Source organism: Homo sapiens, chromosome 8 (assembly GCF_000001405.40).
Source record: "Homo sapiens chromosome 8, GRCh38.p14 Primary Assembly".
In the NCBI taxonomy this organism is placed as follows: domain Eukaryota; kingdom Metazoa; phylum Chordata; class Mammalia; order Primates; family Hominidae; genus Homo; species Homo sapiens.
In genome coordinates, this window is record NC_000008.11 from 88,649,888 (window position 1) to 88,669,924 (window position 20,037).

The following is a 20,037-nucleotide window of genomic DNA, read 5'->3' on the forward strand; positions in this document are numbered from 1 at the left end:
CTCTATAAAACATTTTAGTGGTTTTCTTAGCTTCTGAAATATATATTTACAACAAATCTAAATCCACTTTGAAATAACACTATACTGCTTCACAGGTGGTATAGATAGCATAATACAGAGTAGTCCAGCTTCTCCCTCTGTTCCTTATAACATTGCTTTCATTCCATTCACTTACCCATATACTATAATCCTCCAATATAATAATATTATTATTAAAATAGTTACCATTAGATCGATTAAGAAAAAATGTTTTATTTTACCTCCATTTATTTCTTCTTTGTCATTGTCCCTTTTACTGTATAGACATGTATCATTTTCCTTCTCCCTAAAAAACTTCTTTTATAATTTTTTTCAAGGCAGGTCTATTGGCACCACATTATCTGAGTGTTTGGTTTGTTTGTTTGAGAAAGTCTTTACTTCTCTTTCATTTCAAAGGATAATTTCACCATATAATTCTAGGTGGGTAGGTTTTCCTTCTATCAACATTGTGAATATTTTACTTCACTCTTTTCTTGTTTGCAAGATTTCTGACACGAAATCCACTATAATTCTTATTTTTCCTCTATTAATAAGGTTATTTTTCTCTGGCTATTTGTAACATTTTCTCCTTGTCTTTGGCTTTCTGCAATTTGAGTATGCCATTCCTGGATATAGATTTTTTTGGTGAGTAGGCTGCTTTATGTTCTCTGAGTTTTATGAATCTGTGATATAGTTTTGCAGTAAATTTTGGAAAGTTCTCAGCCATTATTAGTTCAAATATTTATTTTACTCCCTTCTCTCTTCTCATCTTGATATTTCAACTATGCATGTCACAACTTTTGAAATTGTCTCATAGTTACTTGATTTTTTTCTGCTTTTTTCTTTTTTTCTCTTTGCATTTCAATTTTGGGAGTTTCTATGGACTTATCTTCAAGCTCACTGATTCTTTCCTCAGGCATGTTCTGTCTACTGATAAATCATCAACATCTTTCTTAATTTCTGTTAGTGTTTTTGATTCAAGCATTTCTTTTTGATTATTTCATTGAGTTTCAATCTCTCTGCTTACATTACCTATTTGTTCTTCCATGTTGCTCACTTTTTCCATTAGAGCCCTTAATAACTTGGTGATAGTTTAAATTTTCTGTCTGTTATTGTAAAGGCTGTCTCATATATGCATCTAGCTCTAATGTTTGCTTTGTCTCTTAAAACTGTGTTTTTTCTTGACTTTTAGGATACCTTGTATTTTTTGTTGAAAGACACACATGTCATATTAGGCAGGCCTTTAGTCTCAGATTTTGTTAATCTGAGTAGGAGCTGGGTTGTGTTTCATGTTTGCTGTAATGGTTGGTGTCAATTTCCTCTAGTGTCCTTATTTTTTCCCCATGTTGTCTTTGGGTTTCTTTAAAAATCTCCTTCTTAAAAAGAATCTTCACCTTATAGCTCTAATGGTAATACATCATTATTATACTGAAGCCCTATTTATGATGTTGTAGGTGAAAAAGGTTTATAATCTTATGATTAAATTTCCATCTTTACTGAGCCCATGTCTCTGGACTGTGACCTTCATAAGTGTTTCTTAGCTTTTAGGCCAGAGGCAGCTGGAGCTGGTTAATTTTCCTCCCATAGGTTGGAGCAGGCTATGCTAAAGTCTGAGTAGTTCTTTATTTTAAAGAACATTCTGGGAGTATTTTTAAATGTTTACTTTTCCTCTCTCAGCCAAAACAGGAGGGGTTTTTGTTTTGTTTTATTTCTTGGCTTTCTACCTTGAGACCTGGTAGGGATTCCTGGAGGTAAAACCCGTGAAAGCATGTAGACCCCACTAAAACTGCAGCCCAGGGAGTTTCTCACTCTCAGGTTAGTTCACACTCAGCCTCCAGCCACTCATCAAAGTTCCTATTAAGTGTGTTTGTTAGTTTATGGCTCCAGTGGCTTCTGCTCAGGCAAGCTGCTGGCTGTGACTCACTATATTCACCTGTCTCTACTGAGTACGGGGAGATGATTTGTCCTGAAACCTCAGCTGTCTCATGAGCCAAGAAAAGTTATTGACTTTTACTCTGTTCAGTTTTTTGTCTTCTTAGAATCCAAGTGATGACTTATAAATTGTTGCCATGTTAGAGCTGAAACTGGAAGTTCTATGTTACCATTTCTGATTTTTCATTTGTGCACATATTTTAGATGGTTGAATTTTGTCAAGTTTTTAATTTTGAGTACAGTTTATTATTAGTATAACAATATAATGTATTATCCAAACCATGACAAGTTTAAAAATGAAAAAGGGCAGTTTTAATGCCAGTTAAGAACAACAGTCATAAATGAGTTCTGACAAACTGTGACACAGGATCACTGCATATTTGATCAGAGTTTTTGCACATTTGAGATTATCTGTCCATTGTTTTTACATGTGATTGATTGCCAGTTTTCTTGAGCACATACCATAACATTCAGAATTTTTATATAAAGTTCGACTACATTTTTGCCATTAAATTTTGGGTACTGAAAAACTTGAGTTTAGATTGATTTTTCCTTGAAGTAGGTGACTAATTTTTCCTGTCTGTATATCTAGAGTACTTTTATTATATTTAAGATTTAGCAAATTTATCAAGATACAATTAGCAATGAATCATTTTTTATCAGTTCTTCCTGGGACACGGTTTTTGTCATTTAATTTGTAGCATCACTTATTTCTTTATTTATATATGTGTGTGTGTGTGTGTGTGTGTGTGTGTATAAATGTATTTATATTTCATTTTTTCTATGTATCCTCTACTTGTTTATTTTCATTCCCCAGGAATGTAAATTGTGCTTATTTGGATTTCCTTTCTTTCATATCTACCATCTTTTTTCTGATCTCTTTTATCTCTTGCTTTAATATCATTTTGTTTTGTTAACATTTGTATAGACTCTGCATGTCCTTTGTGATATTGCTTTCATTTAATTTCATTTGGACTTTAACGATAATTTTGTTTTTCTAGTTGTTTTCTCTAGATCCATCAGATCACATCTAATCTCTTTAATTTTCTAATTATTTCTTCATTAATATCCTTCTCTCAGAATTTTTTTCTCCCGGAAAACTGACCCGTGACCATTCATTTCTTTGGTAATATAGAGAACTACATGTCTGAAGATTTGGGGGAGTTAATTCCTCCTCTAATGTGTATCATTTAGTTAAAAACATATTTTTGGATTGGTCTACTGTTGGTTCCTTTCGTGTTATTTCTTTTTAAGTGGGGTAGATCCATGCAAGCCAGCACTTGAGAATAACTGCGAAAGCATTGAAGGAAGAGGCATGCGTTGGAAGCTTTAGCTAGCAGCTTTGTTCTCTGACGACACTCTCACAGATTTATGGTATACTCATTCCTGGGGCATATTGCTCTTTTATATTTTATTATCACCTTCACTGGGGCAATAAGAGATTGGTGTGGCTTTTGGTTATGGCCTTCCGTAACCTGCATGTATGTAGTGTGTTGTCTACACTTGCTCAGCTGTCTTTGGTCAGCACTGATAAAGAAGATCACTAAGGAAGATCACGCACTGCCTTTTCTTCTTTCAGCTTCCCCTCACTTTTTGCACCATTAAATTGAAGCCATGCAAAAATATTTCTAGTTTCTTCTATAGAGCACTATTGCAGTAGGATTAAAGGTATATTATTAGATGAACCTTTCAAGACTATGTCTAGAAAAATCTGCATGCTGCCTGAGGCCAAGAGGGCATGTATCTGTTCTATGTAAGCTTAAAATTTTGAGACATATTTCATTTTATTTGGCAGACATTGTTTATCTGATTGGTTGTTGATCACAACTGATTGTGATTTGCAGTTGTGGTAATTTTCTTCTCTGTTTTGTTTCATTTGGTTATTATCAGTGAGTTTTGAGGGAGGGGAGTAAAACAGCAATGCCACTGCCACATTTGTAACATCAAGGGAAAACTTGAGAAAAGACAAAAACATCTTGTAATATATCTCAGTGAACACTCTGAATTTGCAATCTGTTAAATAAAAACAGTTCACTATGTAAGTTCCTTAGTCTACCTGTTCCAACTGGACTGCCTCTGTTTCAAAGTTACTTAGTACTTCTTCAATGAGACAAACTATTTATAAGGCCCTTAAGTCTATTTCCAGAGAGTCGTTGCATTTACAAGCATACACTGTTATAAAATATTAATGAATTAGCACATTAAGTGCACATATTTACATATTAGATATATTAATAATATAATAATTAATATATTATGTATAATTAATAGGTAAAAGAAGTATATATATTTACTCCTTTAATATTCTAATAAATAGATACATAGTAATTTATTTGATCCATGCTCTATTGGTATAAAATTAGCTTGTCTTCAATATCCTTATAATATCACTATGTCTTTGTGCATTCTCTTGTTTATAAGTAATCTTGCATGCAAGTATTTCTGTAGGATAAATTTCATAACCTCACCATGGTGGTGTTGTCAAATGTTATTTTTAATACTTCATATGTAAGTACCTAACTATAAAAACTCCCTTAGAATTTTGTCATCTGTGGATTGTGGGGCAGATACTTTACAGAATAGGAAAAAAAAGACATAATAAAGACAAGAAAATAATATTGAAGTGGCCTACTTCACAGTTAAAGTGTGAAAATAAAATTGCACCGACTTCCAAGGACATTAAAAAAAGCCCAAAGCGCAAACCTGATAAAGGCTACTTTTAAGCTCATGTCAACAATATTGGCACTTTCAAGACACTTTTGAGTCATAATGGTTATTTGCAACAAATTGACAATTGCCAATGCCATGTGTGATTATGATATAACCTAAGGAGTAACTTAACTTTATTTAGTAAGTGAAAAAATACCTCAGGGGTGTCGAGTTATCCCAGAAGAATTGAGGCAGTTAATTTAGACTCCACAAATAAACAGCTCCTATTAGAAGACTTAATCCTCACAAAGTATTCATTTTTTGAAAAATTCTCACTTATGACAGTTACAGGGAAGTCTCAGCTAGAGTTGCTTGCAAGTTTAACTGAAATCATTCCCCTGCAAGAAGGAAAATGTAAAATGGCTTGAAAAACGGCAGTTATAAGAATGTCGAATGCATTTCAAATGTTGGTAGCAATGCTTTATTGAAGGTTAGGAACTGGGCCCATCCTATGAGTAATTTTTTTCTTTTTCTTTTTGAGACAGTGTCTCACTCTGGAGTACAGTGGTGCAACCATAGTTTATTACAGCCTCCAACTCCTGGGCTTAAGCAATCCTCCCCTTCCATTGTCCTGAGTAGCTAGGACTATAGTCACGTGCCGCCACTATTGGCTAAGTGTTTTTTTCATAATGGTTCATGATGGTTGGGGATTTCAGATGAAATTTAAACTGGATAATTACTAACCACAGCTGCCAACCAGTATACTGCACTGAAAGGTAACTAGCAGTTTGCTATATGGAGAAGTCACACCAAAGCACAGAGAAGTGACACTGGTTGTGTGTTTTCATGTTGTGGTGGTGGTTATTGAAAAGTTATTGCGGCTGGGCATGGTGGCTCATGCCTGTAATCCCAGCAATTTGGGAGGCCGAGGCAGGTGGAACACCTGAGATCAGGAGTTCAAGACCAGCCTGACCAACATGGTGAAATCCCGTCTCTACTAAAAATGTAGAATTAGCCGGGCGTGGTGGTGCATGCCTGCAATCCCAGCTACTTGGGAGGCTGAGGCAGGAGAATTGCTTGAACGCAGGAGACGGATGTTGTAGTGAGCCGAGATGGTGCCACTTCATTCAAGCGTGGGCAACAAGAGAGAAACTCCATCTCAAAAAAAAAAAAAAAAAAGAAAGAAAAAGAAAAAGAAAAGTTATTTTGAGGTGCTTTCAGAACACTGGTGTAGGAGTCTACTAACCCTCCCAATATTACTTTTCATATAAATACATGTATTCAAGTATAACTTGTAATTTCAAAATAAAAATAAATCAACTTGTGGTATAAGTGCAAAGAAATCATTCATACATTTACAGAGAGAAGAAAAATAACACTCATGAAGAGCCTACTGTGTGAAAGCAAGCTTTAGATACTTTACTTTTGCTATCTAGGTTTAAGTCTTTATAAAAAGTAACCCATGAGGCAATTATTATTATTTCCATTGTATAGATGAAGAAATTAAAGTTTCCTTGTTAAGGTTTAAACCGTAACAAATGTAAACTCTAAGCAGAACTTGAACTCTAGCCATCATAAACTGCATTCATTCAATAAGGATTCAGTACATCTCATTCATAATGATGAGGAACGTCCATTTTATTCCTTCAAAAAGCAGTAGACAAACTTATAATTCAGTTTTGCATCCATATTTTCATAGTTTAAATTTTTCTAAGTAATGGCCAGTCTTCATAATAATTTTGATTTTTCCAAGAGAGTGAATTTACTAAGAAAGATTTACTAATGTTTAATATTAGTAAATATTTCTTTTGTGCAACACATTCTCCTTGGAATTGTGAAATTATGTATAGCTTATCAGTATATTAGGATAAATAATGGTCAATTTGAAGTATAATGTAATATAGGATAACTTATCTGAAGTTGCTATCCACTGGCCAATGGAAAGTTCTATTGATTAGATTCTATTTTCTGGCTATATCACATTCCAGTTACAGTATCATTTGGGCAGGCTGTGTTCGAGTATGCGGTTGGTAGACTGGACACTTAGCTACTATATCAGTTACTAGACCAGTGTCATGAGGTGATGTCTATAGTTGCTGAATCCAGGTATTATTTCCATCCCTGAACACATGGCCACTTTGTTCATTAGCTCATTGAGCAAACACTGATGTGGCTGAAGAAAGAAATTTAGTGATATCTAAAGGATGGGGCATCTTGTTCACTTGGCTTTAGAGGAAACAGGTATGGACTCGTTGGTAGTTACTCAAATGGCATACAAGTATTTTCACACCCTGGGTCTAAGAGATTCATTCATATAACTCTCCCTAAAACCTACTTGGCACTAGTTTTCTAATATGTTCCTTCAAAACAACTGACTATTGAGCAAACCAGTAACCACTGATCATGGATCATGACTGATTCATATCTTAGTGTCTTTTGTTCTGAGCAATGTAGATAACCAGATATAAAATTTGAAGTTTGGAGGTTTCTCATTCCTCAGTGTCTTCAGGGCCTCATATGAGTGAAACTGAAATGATGCAACTTAGGACAGGTGTCTGCACATTGTATAGTAATGTATACAAATGGCTTAAATAGTTCATATAGATTTCCTGTGAAGAGTGGGTGAAGAAGAGTTGGCCTGCAGGAGCATTATGTATTTCAGGAGTATGGGTCAGCTGCTTCAGCAACTTAAAGGACCATTCAGGGCTTACTGTAATCCAACTCATGTATATTCTTTTACTAGATGCTGACATGCTGCTGAGCACACACACACACACACACACACACACACACACACACACACATAATTTGAATTAGAGCTTTGGTCTTCTGTTTACATGAAGTACTCGGTGGTTTTCCAGGTTATATCATTACCCAATAGCAAACCAGTAATTATTTCTTTGAATGAGAAAGGAAGTGTATTAGAAAGTACAATTCATTTCAAAATTGTAGGACTGTGATTTTTCTATGGGCTTTTAAGCAAGCTCCATAGAACATCCTGATCTGCCACAACCCAGTGAGCATCATTGGATCACCTGGATCATAAAAGCAGGGTGACAGAATTCTTGATATAAGAGGCTGAACCAGTCAGAGAATCCTCTCAGGATCTGGCCCAACTCAAGGATGATAGCTTTATTGGTTTCTTGATAAATACAATACAATAACATACCATATATACAATAAAACCTGACAAACATTAGCTGATTTTTAGTTAAAGGAGATATGAGAAACAACTTGTCTTTCACTTCTAAGAGAGTATCATAACATGCTTCAGACAACTGGAATCCCCTAACACTTCATTGAGGGAATCCCCTAACACTTCATTCATCGCTGGTTTTGTGAGGTTTATGTCCCACTCTCAGGCATGCATGTTTTGTACTAACTAGGGTGGCTACCATATCCTGATGTATAAGGCCTTTCTACATGTTGTCATCACTGAAATGAATCAGTGGAATGCCACGTGGAATGGTAGTGTGAATATCTTGACAGAGTTGGAGAGTTCCTATGAAACCAATTCAAGGTGGTCAGGTGAAAAAATATATGCAGTCAATTATTATAAAGGGAAAACCCCTGTCCCAGGAATGGTGGATCAGGCCTGTAATCCCAGGACTTTGGGAGGCTGTGGCAGGCAGATCACTTGAGGTCAGGAGTTCAAGACCAGCCTGGCCAACATGGCAAAACCCCATCTCTACTAAAAATACAAAAATTAGCCAGGTGTGTTGGCATTCACCTGTGATCCCAGCTACTGAGGAAGCTGAGGCACGAGAATCGCTTTAACCAGGGAGGTGGGGGCTGCAGTAAGCTGAGATTGTGCCACTGTACAACCTGGGTGACAGAGCAAGACTTTGTCTCAAAAAAATAAAAATAAAAATAAAAGGCAAGCCCCAAACACACAGTGTAGCTGCCAGTTTCTTAGTCATACATACATCAGGTACCAAAAGTAGCACAGATGAAGACCAGTAAATAGTCTACATATGAATAGTAGCTGCAATTGTAAATGCTTCCTGATTGAGTTTATGTGTTTGAAATACTTCATAATCCACACCACATCAAATTTTTTTTAAATAATGACGAATTAATGCAAAAACAGCAATTTAAGTTTCTCTCCTGAAAGGAGAAGCCATTTAAATCAGCATGGTGCAATGGCTCATGAGTATATTTTGATAGAATTATTGGGTAGTCTTACTTGGCAATACACAATTTCGATTTGCATAATTAGCTAATAGATTTGCACTTTATGTCAAATGCTGTTACAGAAATGAGACTGTAGAGTTGATAAAGCCATCTCTTTAATATGAATCCAGGCAATTATTTCAGCTTAAATCAATAAATGCAACTCCAGCCCCCTTTATTTCAGGACTGACTATACTCTAGAGGCTACGAAGTCTAAAATTCCTGGACCTCCTTACAGTTTATGTCCTACATGTATTCCAGCTCCTCCCAAGCTGATGTTTCCTTGTGGAAACATAAAAAGTTGAAATGATATGAAGATTCTGTGGCTTCCATTGTTTTTGCTTGCAGGTATTTTCATGGATGCATGTGGTTATTTCAGTAGCATTAGAACGGATAGTTTAGTGTTCAATCCCTAGCTTAGTGGGCATTGGACATCAGTTTTGCTGGAAATGTCAACACTGAGAATTTGTTATCCTGGAGATTATACTTAGATTTCCTGATCCCTGGATCTTAGTAGAGGTTGAGTCATTAGTTGGGGCAGCAGCTTTTCTATTTCCTAGCATTTGAACTGAAGCAGAGAGAACTTTCTTTAGAAGGCCAGTTCTGTATCATTCTAGGAATCAACCTGGAAACTCAGTTTGGAGCCTTCATCCCTAGCCATTTCAAACTATTTGTAAATAACCAATTTTCTTTATTAATCTTTTTCCTCTTAGATTTTTTAAATGCCAGTCTTCTTAGTGCATATTATCAAGTGAATAATTTTATTTGATTTTCATTTTTATTCCCTTTTAAGCAATTAACGTGATATCTTTCTTCCATTTTATTTTAAATAATTTCATCCACTAATCAACAAGAAGTATGCACATGAAAATATTTTATGCTTGGAAACCAAAAAGTATAATGAATAGACAACATTTGCAAACATGAATAACATTCTACCTGGTAAACATTTTCATGAATGTCTTCAAATAGGCAGCCAGTGTAGATAAAATTCTTGGCAAAGAAAGTTTAAAAAGGAGTGTTAGTAGCAGCTGGCCTATGGAACATTTGCAAGAACATTTGTGAATTTACACTGGGCCCAAAACAAACATTTGTTTTGCCATAATTATTGAAATAAACATTTTAATTTAGGTAATGTTTGACACCAAAACAAGTGTCTTCAAATAAAGTAATATTTAGGAAAGCAAGACTCATGCAAATATGTTTCTTTGCTAAGTAAATATTTTATTTTTTAGGTTTTTGCCAATGCAGGTGTTAATGTACATGTTAGGTAAGGTGTGGGTGTCCTTCTTCATCATAGTATAAGGCACATAACTCTTCCTTCTTCTTTAGTTATTTCTATAATACAGTAGGAAAAAATGGTTCTGTAAAAAAATATACACAATATAATTACAAATAAGACACATATTTATCTTAACCTACATTGAAATGTCTTTGCTAAATAGAGTTATAAAATCAAATTTGCTCCTGGTAATAATATTTTTCTGTAAGGGCTGGGTGATAAAGAACTTTTCAATTATATGAAACATAACATTTACAACTGTGATAATACCTTAACTTTAATTGTTTATCCTTCAAAATACATAAATATTGTTTTATAAAATGTATTTGGCCATTATATCTATCTTACCTCAAACTCCATCTGAGGACATTTTACACAGTACAACTAATGAAAATTGAGTTCCTGAAAGGGGCTTCTGGGTCTGAATGCATGACTGAATTTTTTTGTTTGGGAGCTATAGGTAAAAGCCCTACCAATTAACCATACTGAGGCTTAGGAAAGGGTCAATGTATGTGTAGCTCCTTCGTATTCTCAGTCTTATCCCCCAACCTATTCCACAGGTCATCCTGGGAATAAGAGTATAGCTAGGTCAAGGAACATGTGAAGAAATTTTACAAATAAAAAGCAGAATCTCTAAAAATGGTAATGAACTAAGCAGGGGCTGATACCATGGTGTAAATTCAGAACCAAGTAGTCACCTTTTGCTAACTAAGAAAGTCCAGAAAACACTCATGTCATTGAAGAGTTAATGGGAAATACTTCTCATTCCAGAATTTTATAGTTAGCTAAACTATCATCAACAATGAGTATATGGTAACAAAATAAACAAACAAGCAAAAGCTATGGGGATTTACCACTTCAATGAAATATTTCCAAAAGGTTAAACTTCTAACAGGAGGAAATGAACACAGGTAAAATCAGGAGAATATAACCACCCCAAAAAAGTGAGTGAATTTTCATGGTAAGTTTCAATAACTATGTACTGTCAAATAATAACAAAGTCTATATATCATACATGAAACAAAAATTCTAGGTATAAATAATCAAGAATATGTGGTTGAATAATTCTGTGATATGTAAAGTATGAAAAGATTCTTGTTATGTTTAGCAGCAAAATACAGTTATTAAATAACTATATATTAGAAAGTATGTGTGCATGGGCATGTATGTGTGTGTAGATTACCACTGGAAAAATTTGAAAATATAATGTGTAGCTTGTGTTTAAAAGAAAAGAATGTGGATAAGAGAAAGTAGGAAAGTAGAAATAATCAAAGACTCAAAAAATGTATGGTAAGAAGAAAAGTAAAATCAAAAGAAGATGATAAAGATATCTGCTCTGGAGTATAAGGTCCTCAAATTCTAAAAGCAACCATTCAGCCTGCAAGGAAAAGTCTACAATATGAAAGTATAATACAAAAGCAATTATATGAAGGTACCAGAAAGTGAATAGAATTGGAGAAAACTGAACAAGTGAGTTGCATCTTGGTAGTTTTTAGCCTGGGCTAATTAAAGGTGGCATGGCATGACAATGGCAGCAGAGTTATTGATGAAAGACATGCCAGTGATGGAGTTGGATAAACTGTAATCTTTAAGCCCTGGGCCAACAGAAAACTGAAATCAGGGAAAAGATGATTGCTGAAGAGAGCAGTAAAATTTCAAGAAGAATATATCCAGAATAGACATCCCCAAATTATGTCTATGTAGAGCTCTGATTCATCTCTGAGCCATGCTTGAGCTAAACAGACCCAGAGCTACTCAACAAAAGACAAAGATCTCATTTGAGAATGGAATTGTGACTAAGAAGCAGTTTTGCAATTAAAGCCAGTCAAACTAAACCTAAGGAATAAACACTCATTAAAAAACAAAAACAAAATAAAAACAGAATTCAACTATCTACAACATAATGTCCATAATGTCTAGTACATCATTCAAATTTATACAACAAGTGAATACAGAAAATGGGACACAGTCTCAAAAATCAAGAAAAAAAATTGAACCAAATATTTATATCAGTCAGATGAAAGACTTCCGAAAGAGAAGTTTTCAAGTTGCTTTTGTGACTATGCAAATAAAATCAGATAAAATATGATCACAATGAATACAAATATAGGATATTTCAGCAGATAAATATAAACAATTTAAAATATCCAAATTAAATCTTGGGACTAGACTATGTGTTAACTAAAATGAAAAAAATAATAATTGTATGGACTTAACTGCAAAATAGAAGGAAGAGTCAATGATCTTGAACATTGATTACTAAAAAAATAGAAAGTGAAGAAAAGAGAGAAAAAATTGTAAATATTATGAGAAGAGAAGAGAGACTCAGAGACCTTTTTAATAGTTTCACATGGTCTAACATACATATAATTGGATCCTGGATGGGAAAAGAGAAAGAATGAGTCAGAAAATAATATTTGAAGTAATATTATATAAAAATCTCCTAAATTTAATGAAGAATAGAAATGTACTAATACAAGATGATTTATAAGCACATGTAGAATAAAACCAAAAAAGAATTGTGTGAAATGAAATTGCTGAAAGGTAAATGTTGAGAGCTAATCTTGAAAGCTTCAAGAGAAAAATGGCATGTTACAGGTAAGAAAACAATAAACTAATGAATGTCTGGGCTTTTAACAAGAAATCATTAAGGCCCCCCAAAAGGAATGTCTTTAAAGTGCTGAAAGAAAACAAAGTTAAATCAGAATTTGATATTTAGCAAAAATATCCTTTAAAAATAAATGTGTAGTAAAGATATTTTTAGGTGAAAGAAAACTAAGATAATTCATTGTGATCAGACCTGCACAAGTAATGAGAAGGAAAATTATTCAGGTGTATGGAAAATGACACAACTGGAAACTCAAATTTTCCAATATAGTAAATAAATAAATATCATCTGAAATATTTAATGCAAAAAGCATTTTTTGCCTTTTTCCTCCTAACTACTTTATAAATCATATAATTCTTGGAAGCCAAATTGTGTAGTGTCTATATAAACTGCAACATAAAAGATGGGAGGATACGAACTTATCCTCTATATTTTTGCAAAATTACAGCACTTCATGCAAAGCACTGCAATAAGAATTATAAATAAATTGTGAAAAGTTAAGGATGTATATAGTATTATCTCAGACAATCACTAAACTTACAAACAAAAAACAATAAGGTATATCTAGCAAAATAGGAAAATTAAAACTAGAATTCTAGAGATAATTCATAAAAGGACAAAAATGGCAGAACAGCAAATCAAAAATAGAAGAGACAAATGAAAAATTATAATAAATTATAGACTTAAATCTAATCATTTCAATGATTACATTAATTGAAAATGGAGCATGGGCTACATTTCCATCTATTGGTAGCTTACTTAATTCCTTTCATCAGTGTTTTATAGTTCTCAGTGTACAAATCTTTTGGATTTTTGGTTAAATTTATTCTTAAGTACTTTATTCTTTTTGATGCTATTGTAAAAGATTTTTTTATTTTTCTCATTGATCATAATAGTCATAAACATGACTAATTTATGTATGTTGCTATTGAGTTTGTACCCTGCTGCTTTACTGAATTCAATTATTAGTGCAAATACATTTTGGTAGGATCCTTTGAGTTTTCTACATATAGAATCATGTCATCCATAAACTTGGATAGTTTTACTTCTTTTGTGATTTGGACGACTTTTATTTGTTTTTCTTGTCTGATTGTTTATGCTAGTACTTCCAGTACCATGTTAATAGATGAGGTGAGAGTGGGCATCCTTGCCTTATACCAATCTTAAAGCAAAAGCTTTCATATTTTCCCTATTCATTATGATATTATTTGTGGGCTTTTCATAAACGGTCTTTACTATGTTGAGAACATTTCCTTTTATACCTTTTCACTGAGAGTTTTTAGCATGCAGAGATGTTAAACTTTTTCAAATGCTTTTTTTTTGCATCTATTGAGATGACTATATGGTTTCGTTTTTCATTCTGATAATGTGATGTATCACATTATTTGATCTGCATATGTTATAAGCCAGCCTTGCATTACCTAATATTGTTAAAATACCCATATTACCCAAAGCAACATACAGATACAATCCAACCCCTACAAGCAAAACAGCAAGCTACAGGCACAAAGCTGACATAGATACCAATGGAAGAGAATAGAAAGCCCAGAAATAAATCTGCTTATATATGGTCAACTGATATTTCACATGTATACCCAGAACACACAATGGGGAAAGGATAGACATTTCAGTAAATGGTATTGGAAAAACTAAATATCCGCATGCAGAAGAATAAATTTGTGCACTCATCTCACACCAAACACAATAAACTCAAATTGAATTGAAGATCTAACTAAAAGACCTGAAACCATTGCACTCCTAGAAGAAAACACAAGGGAAAATTTATTTGATATTGGCTTTGCAATAATTTTTTTTTAATATGGTGCCAAAAACTCAAGCAACAAAAACCAAAAAAAAAAAAAAAAAAAAAAAAAAAAAAAAAAAAAGAACTACATCAAACTAAAAATCTTCTACACAGCCAAGGAAACAATTATCAAAAATAAAAGGCAACCTACAGATTGGGTGAAAATATTGGGAAAATATGTATCTAATGAGTGGTTAATATCAAGATACATAAGGAACTTGTAGAACTCAATAGCAAAAAAAAAAAAAAAAAAAAATTAAAAATGGGCAAAGGACCTGAGTAGACATTTTCCCGAAGAAGACATAAAAATGGCCAACAGTTATATAAAAAGGTGCTCAACATCACTAATCAAAACTATGAGACATCAATTCACAACTGTTAGAATGGCTATTACCAGAAATACAAGAGAGAACTGCAGGCAAGGGTGTGGAGAAAAGGGAACTCTTGTACACTGTTGTTGGTAATGTAAATTAGTATAGCCATTATGTAATAACAGTATGATTGTCCCTCAAAAATTAATTAGAATTACCATATGACCCAGTAGTTTTTCTGAGGTCTATATACCTAAAAGGGATTACATTAGCACCTGGAGAGATATCTGAGCTCCCATGTTAATTGCAGCATTATTGGTAATAGCCAAGGTACAGAAAAAAACCTAAATGCCCATCAACAGATACATGAAGAAAGAAATGTATACATTGTGGTACATATATAAATGCACAATGGAATATGATTTAGCCTTAAGAATGAAGGAGATCCTGTCATTTGCAATGACAAGGATCAAATGGAGAAAATATGCTAAGTGAAATAGTATAGGAACAAAGATACAAATGCTGCATGATCCCATTTTTATGTGAAATCAAAAAAAAAAAGCTGAATACATAAAAATAGAAGAATAGTGGTTAAAACAGGGTAGAGGGCAAATGCGGAGATGTAGGTCAGATGGTACAAATTAGCAATTTTGTAGGAGGAATAAGTCTAGAAATCTAATGTACTGCAGGAGGATTACAGATAATAATATTGTATTGTATATTAAAAATTTGCTAAGAGAGTAGCTTTTAGGTGCTTTTACCACTAGAAGAAAAAGAGGTAACTATGAAAGTTAATGAATATGTTAATTTGCTTATCTGTAGTATATAAACCTCATGTTTTATATCTTAAATATATACCTTAAAAATAGTGTTACTTAAAAAAAAGAAAGACAATAGAGCAAACATTTCAATTAAAATTTAAAAATAGTCTTAGTGGATTAAAAACAACAAACAAAACTATATGCACTTTTCAAGAGAGGTGCTTAAAGTTTAAAGATACAGATAGGCTGAAAGTAAATTCATAGAGAAAGTTTATCATATATTATTGGCCAAATTGTGTTCTCCCGAATTCATATGTTGAAGTCCCATTCCCCATAGCTCAGTGTAATAATATTTGTAGAGAAGGTATTCAAACAGATGGTTAAGTTAAATAATACAATTTGAGAGGAACCTAATCTAATCTGTGTACTTACAAGAAGAAAAGATTGGGATGAACAGGAGAGGCACCAGGGATGTTGCACACGGAGAAAATATCTTGTGAAGAGGCTGCTAGAATGCAGCCATCTGTAAGCCAGAGTGAGGCCGCAGAGGAAACCAACCCTGCCAGCATCTCGATCTTGGATTAGCATCCAAAACTGTGAGAACATGAATTTCTATTGTTGAAGGAACCAGTCCATGGTATTTTTCTATGGCAATTCTAGGAAATGAATACAATGTACCAACACTAAGCCATGAAAATGCTGATGTCACCAGAAAAACACTGAATGGTTGCAATTTAAAAATATACTTATAAATAATCACCATAGGTCATGGAATAAATTACAAGAGAAACTGAAAAAATACTTTGATCTGAGTGAAGATGAACATCTAACCTGTGAAAATTTGTGAAATGCTGCTAAATCGGTGTTTATATTAAAAAAAGATAAATATACAAAGTCAGAGTTCACACCTTAAGAAACTGGAAAAAGAGGAAAAATTTAAACCCAAAGAACAAAATAGAGAAAAGTAATTAAACCAAAATCGTTTTTCTTTTTTTTTTTTGTTTTTAAAGATCAAGAACATAAATAAGTATCTGGACAGTCAGTTCTGGAAAAGAACACAGAAACCACAAATTGTCAATATCAAGAATGAAACAGGAAACATCATTACATCTCCTACTGACCTTAAAAGGAAAAAAGAGGATATCATAAACAATTTTATGCTAATAAATATGACAACTTGTGGAAATGCACAAACCCTTAGAAATTTTAAAAGATTACAGATATAAACATAAAACACTAATAACCCTATGTCAATTAAAGATGTTGAATTTTTAAATTATCTACCCTACCACACACAACCACATAAATGAACATAATACCAATACCTCCGCAAAATTTGTTCAGAAAATAAAGGAGGAAAGTCTTCTCAAACCATTTTATTACAGCAATATTAGGCTAAAAACAAAACTGAAAATATCACAAGAAAGAGAATCACAGAACAATATCCCTCATGAACATTAACATTAAACTCTGAATCAAAATTAGCAAATTGGATACAGTAATACATAAAAGTGATCCTTCATCATGAACAAGTGGTTTTTTTTGTCTGAGACATTTAGCATCTATTAACAAATTGCTCTCAAAAATCAATTATACCCATTTATGGGCTTATCAGGTTTAAAAAATATTTACCATATCATTGCCAACATTGGATTTTATTAGATTTGTGATTTTTGCCAACATGATCAGTATAAAAATAATTTATAATTTTAGTCTGTATTATCTTAATTACCAAACAATCGAGCACAATTTAGTGCCTTTGTGATCCATTGTTTCCTCTGTTACTAGGCAATTTTTATCCCACACCCAGTTTTCTGAAAGGTTGTTTGTCTTTTCTTATTATTTTGGCAGTTTTTATCTTTTAAATTCATTCAAATAATTCAACACATCTGTTACTTTTTAGTTTGTTCTTGGTGTATTTCGCCATTCAGAAGTTTCAATTGTAATGTATTAATAACGCATCCCTATTTTCTCAATGTGTGCTTTCGGTGTCAGTCTAAGAAAAGGTTTTCTATCTCTGAGGTAATCAACTTTATCGCTTATACTTTTACCTAAAGTTTTATGACATTTTTAACCCCTAAATCTCTAATCCACTGATAATATATTTAAATGTATCTAATAATAATATGCAATTTTTGTAAGATTTATTAAAGACTGTGTAGAATATATTCCGTATAATATATTCTTTATTATAAATTGAAAGTTCACATTTCAGAGCTTCCTTTATTGTTCCAGAAGTCTGTTCAAATTATTGTAACGATATGTTAAATTTTAATATCTAGGGTGGAAAAACTATCGTCATCACCACCTTATTAACCCTCCAATTTCTTCCCTTATTTCAGCTTCAGAATTCTCGGGGCATTTCTCTGCCATTTATATTTCATGATTACATTCCATTTTATTTAATCAAGTCCAGTGAACATTCCTGTTGGGATTTGATAAGAATCGAATTAAATTTATTGATTAAATTAAAAATGATTTTTCATCTTTTTACATAGAAAATTGCCAATCATGGTTATGCTGTTTCTCTTCTTTTGGGTCTTTGTTATTTTTGTGTTTTTTCTTGTTATTGTAAATGGTATCTCTTCTTGTATTTATTAACACATAGTAATAAGTAGTATAAGTAGCAACAAACGATAGCTACTTATTAACACGTAGTAATAAGTAGTATAAGTAGCAACAAATGATAGCTAATCTTGTTAGCATCTTGCTAAATATAAACATATTTAAATGTTTATCTTATAACCACCTGAAATTTTCTATTGATTTTATAGTTTTTCTGCAGATATTTTGACTATTCTTTAGGTATAATAGTAATTTATTCTTTAGATATAATAGTAAATTATGTTAGTTTTGCTCATTTTTTTCTATCTTTAATGTAATTTTATTTTTTTACTTATTTATTACCCAGTTAGATGTTAGATTTGTCCTACTTTTCATTAATGTATGGCTTTAAAAACAGTTTTTTGGGTTTATCCTTTTCCCTTACACCATATTTTTTGGATAAGTATATCTATCCAAATCTCTATCTAATTTCATCTACATAGACACATACCTTTAATGTTTGAAAATTCCTTTAATGCTTTGTCTGTTTACCACAATAAATTTTGTTATTTCTTTGTGGTGTTTTCTAGTTTATATTTTAAATTTCCAAATACATTAAGGTTCTGGCTTTCCTCCTTTTTTCCCTTTCCTCTTCCTTTTAATTCCATTTTTGAACTTTCCAGTTAGGTGGAGCACTACCAGGACATTGTCTTTGCAAAGAGGAAGCCCAGTATGAGGTGTCAGAACCCAGGCAGGAGATGAGGGTATCCATAAGTGGGGATGATTGATGTGATATGTCAGAACTCAGGCAGGGTGAAGGTGGTGTTCATGTGGAGGCCAGAGGGTAGCACCAAACAGGGGATGTTTATTTGTTATCTATTGCTATCTAACAAAGTAATGCAAAACTTATGTTTTACAACTCCATACGCTTATTATCTCATGCAGTCTCTGGGAGTTAGGAATCTGCAGCAGCTTCTTTCTGTCTGTGGTTTTCACTTAAGGTCTCATATGAAGTTACCATTGAGTTTTCTAAAGCTTCCACTAGAGCTGGAGAGTTGACTTCCCACTTCATCCATGTGGCTGTTGGCCAGAGGCTTTATTTCCTCCCCATGTTGGCATCTGCAGAGCTTATCATAACATGGAAGCTTTCTTCTTTCAGAGTGACTGATCTAATGGTGAGAGATCAAAAAGAGCACTACCAAGAGAAGATGTCACCAAGGGAGAGGCCACAGCTTTTACAACCTACTATTAGAATGGCATCCCATAATTTCTGCATTAGGCTATTAGTCACAGATACTAACACTGGTACATTATGGGTAGGATCTACATAAGATTATGAACACTGGAAGACAGATCACCTGAGGTCACCTCAGAGACTGGTTACCATATAGTTGTCAGAGTCCAAGAGACTTAGTAGGGTGTTTATGCATAAGGGTGCCTGAAGTGAGTGCTCAAAAGAAGTGAGAACATGTATATTCTTGATGGCAGTCTGGGGCAGGGTGTCAGAGCCTGAGCAGAGTGCCTACATAGAGCAGCAACATGGCATGAGGAGACAGAACCCAAGCCAGGTGAGAAGGTTTCATGTGAGGGGAGAGGGAGGCTGCTGCAATCAGAAGTTGATTGTATAATGGAGATTGATTATATCAGTAGTTATATTTAAAAAATTGTAATTAGGTTTCTGTCTAAAAAGGTATTTACAAGCATGTAGACAACAACAACAAAATTCTCCTATTGTGATGGAATTGGAAATACTGATGCAAAGTTATAAATTATGATTGATAAATGATAGATTATAGATAGAAAGATTTGAATATATATAGATGTGTATATATACACACACACAGATATGCTTACACTCATATATATACACACATTCCCTAGTTCTGTCCATGGAGAGTGCCTTATAGCAGTAAATTCCTCATACCAATAAGCAGTTTAGACTAAAGAGCATGATG

At 33.3% G+C, this 20,037-nt stretch overlaps 2 long non-coding RNA genes across 3 annotated transcripts in view; one reads left to right on the plus strand and one right to left on the minus strand.

Annotated features, from left to right (window-relative positions):
* The window catches only part of LOC105375630 (uncharacterized), a 559,756-nt gene that overhangs the window by 322,044 nt on the left and 217,675 nt on the right, over positions 1–20,037 (plus strand). The window lies entirely within an intron of this gene.
* LOC124901973 (uncharacterized) lies at positions 9,976–16,059 on the minus strand. Its single transcript, XR_007061000.1, has 2 exons — positions 15,971–16,059; positions 9,976–10,136 (listed from the first exon to the last, which is right to left on the minus strand). It is a non-coding gene; the product is annotated as an uncharacterized LOC124901973 (long non-coding RNA).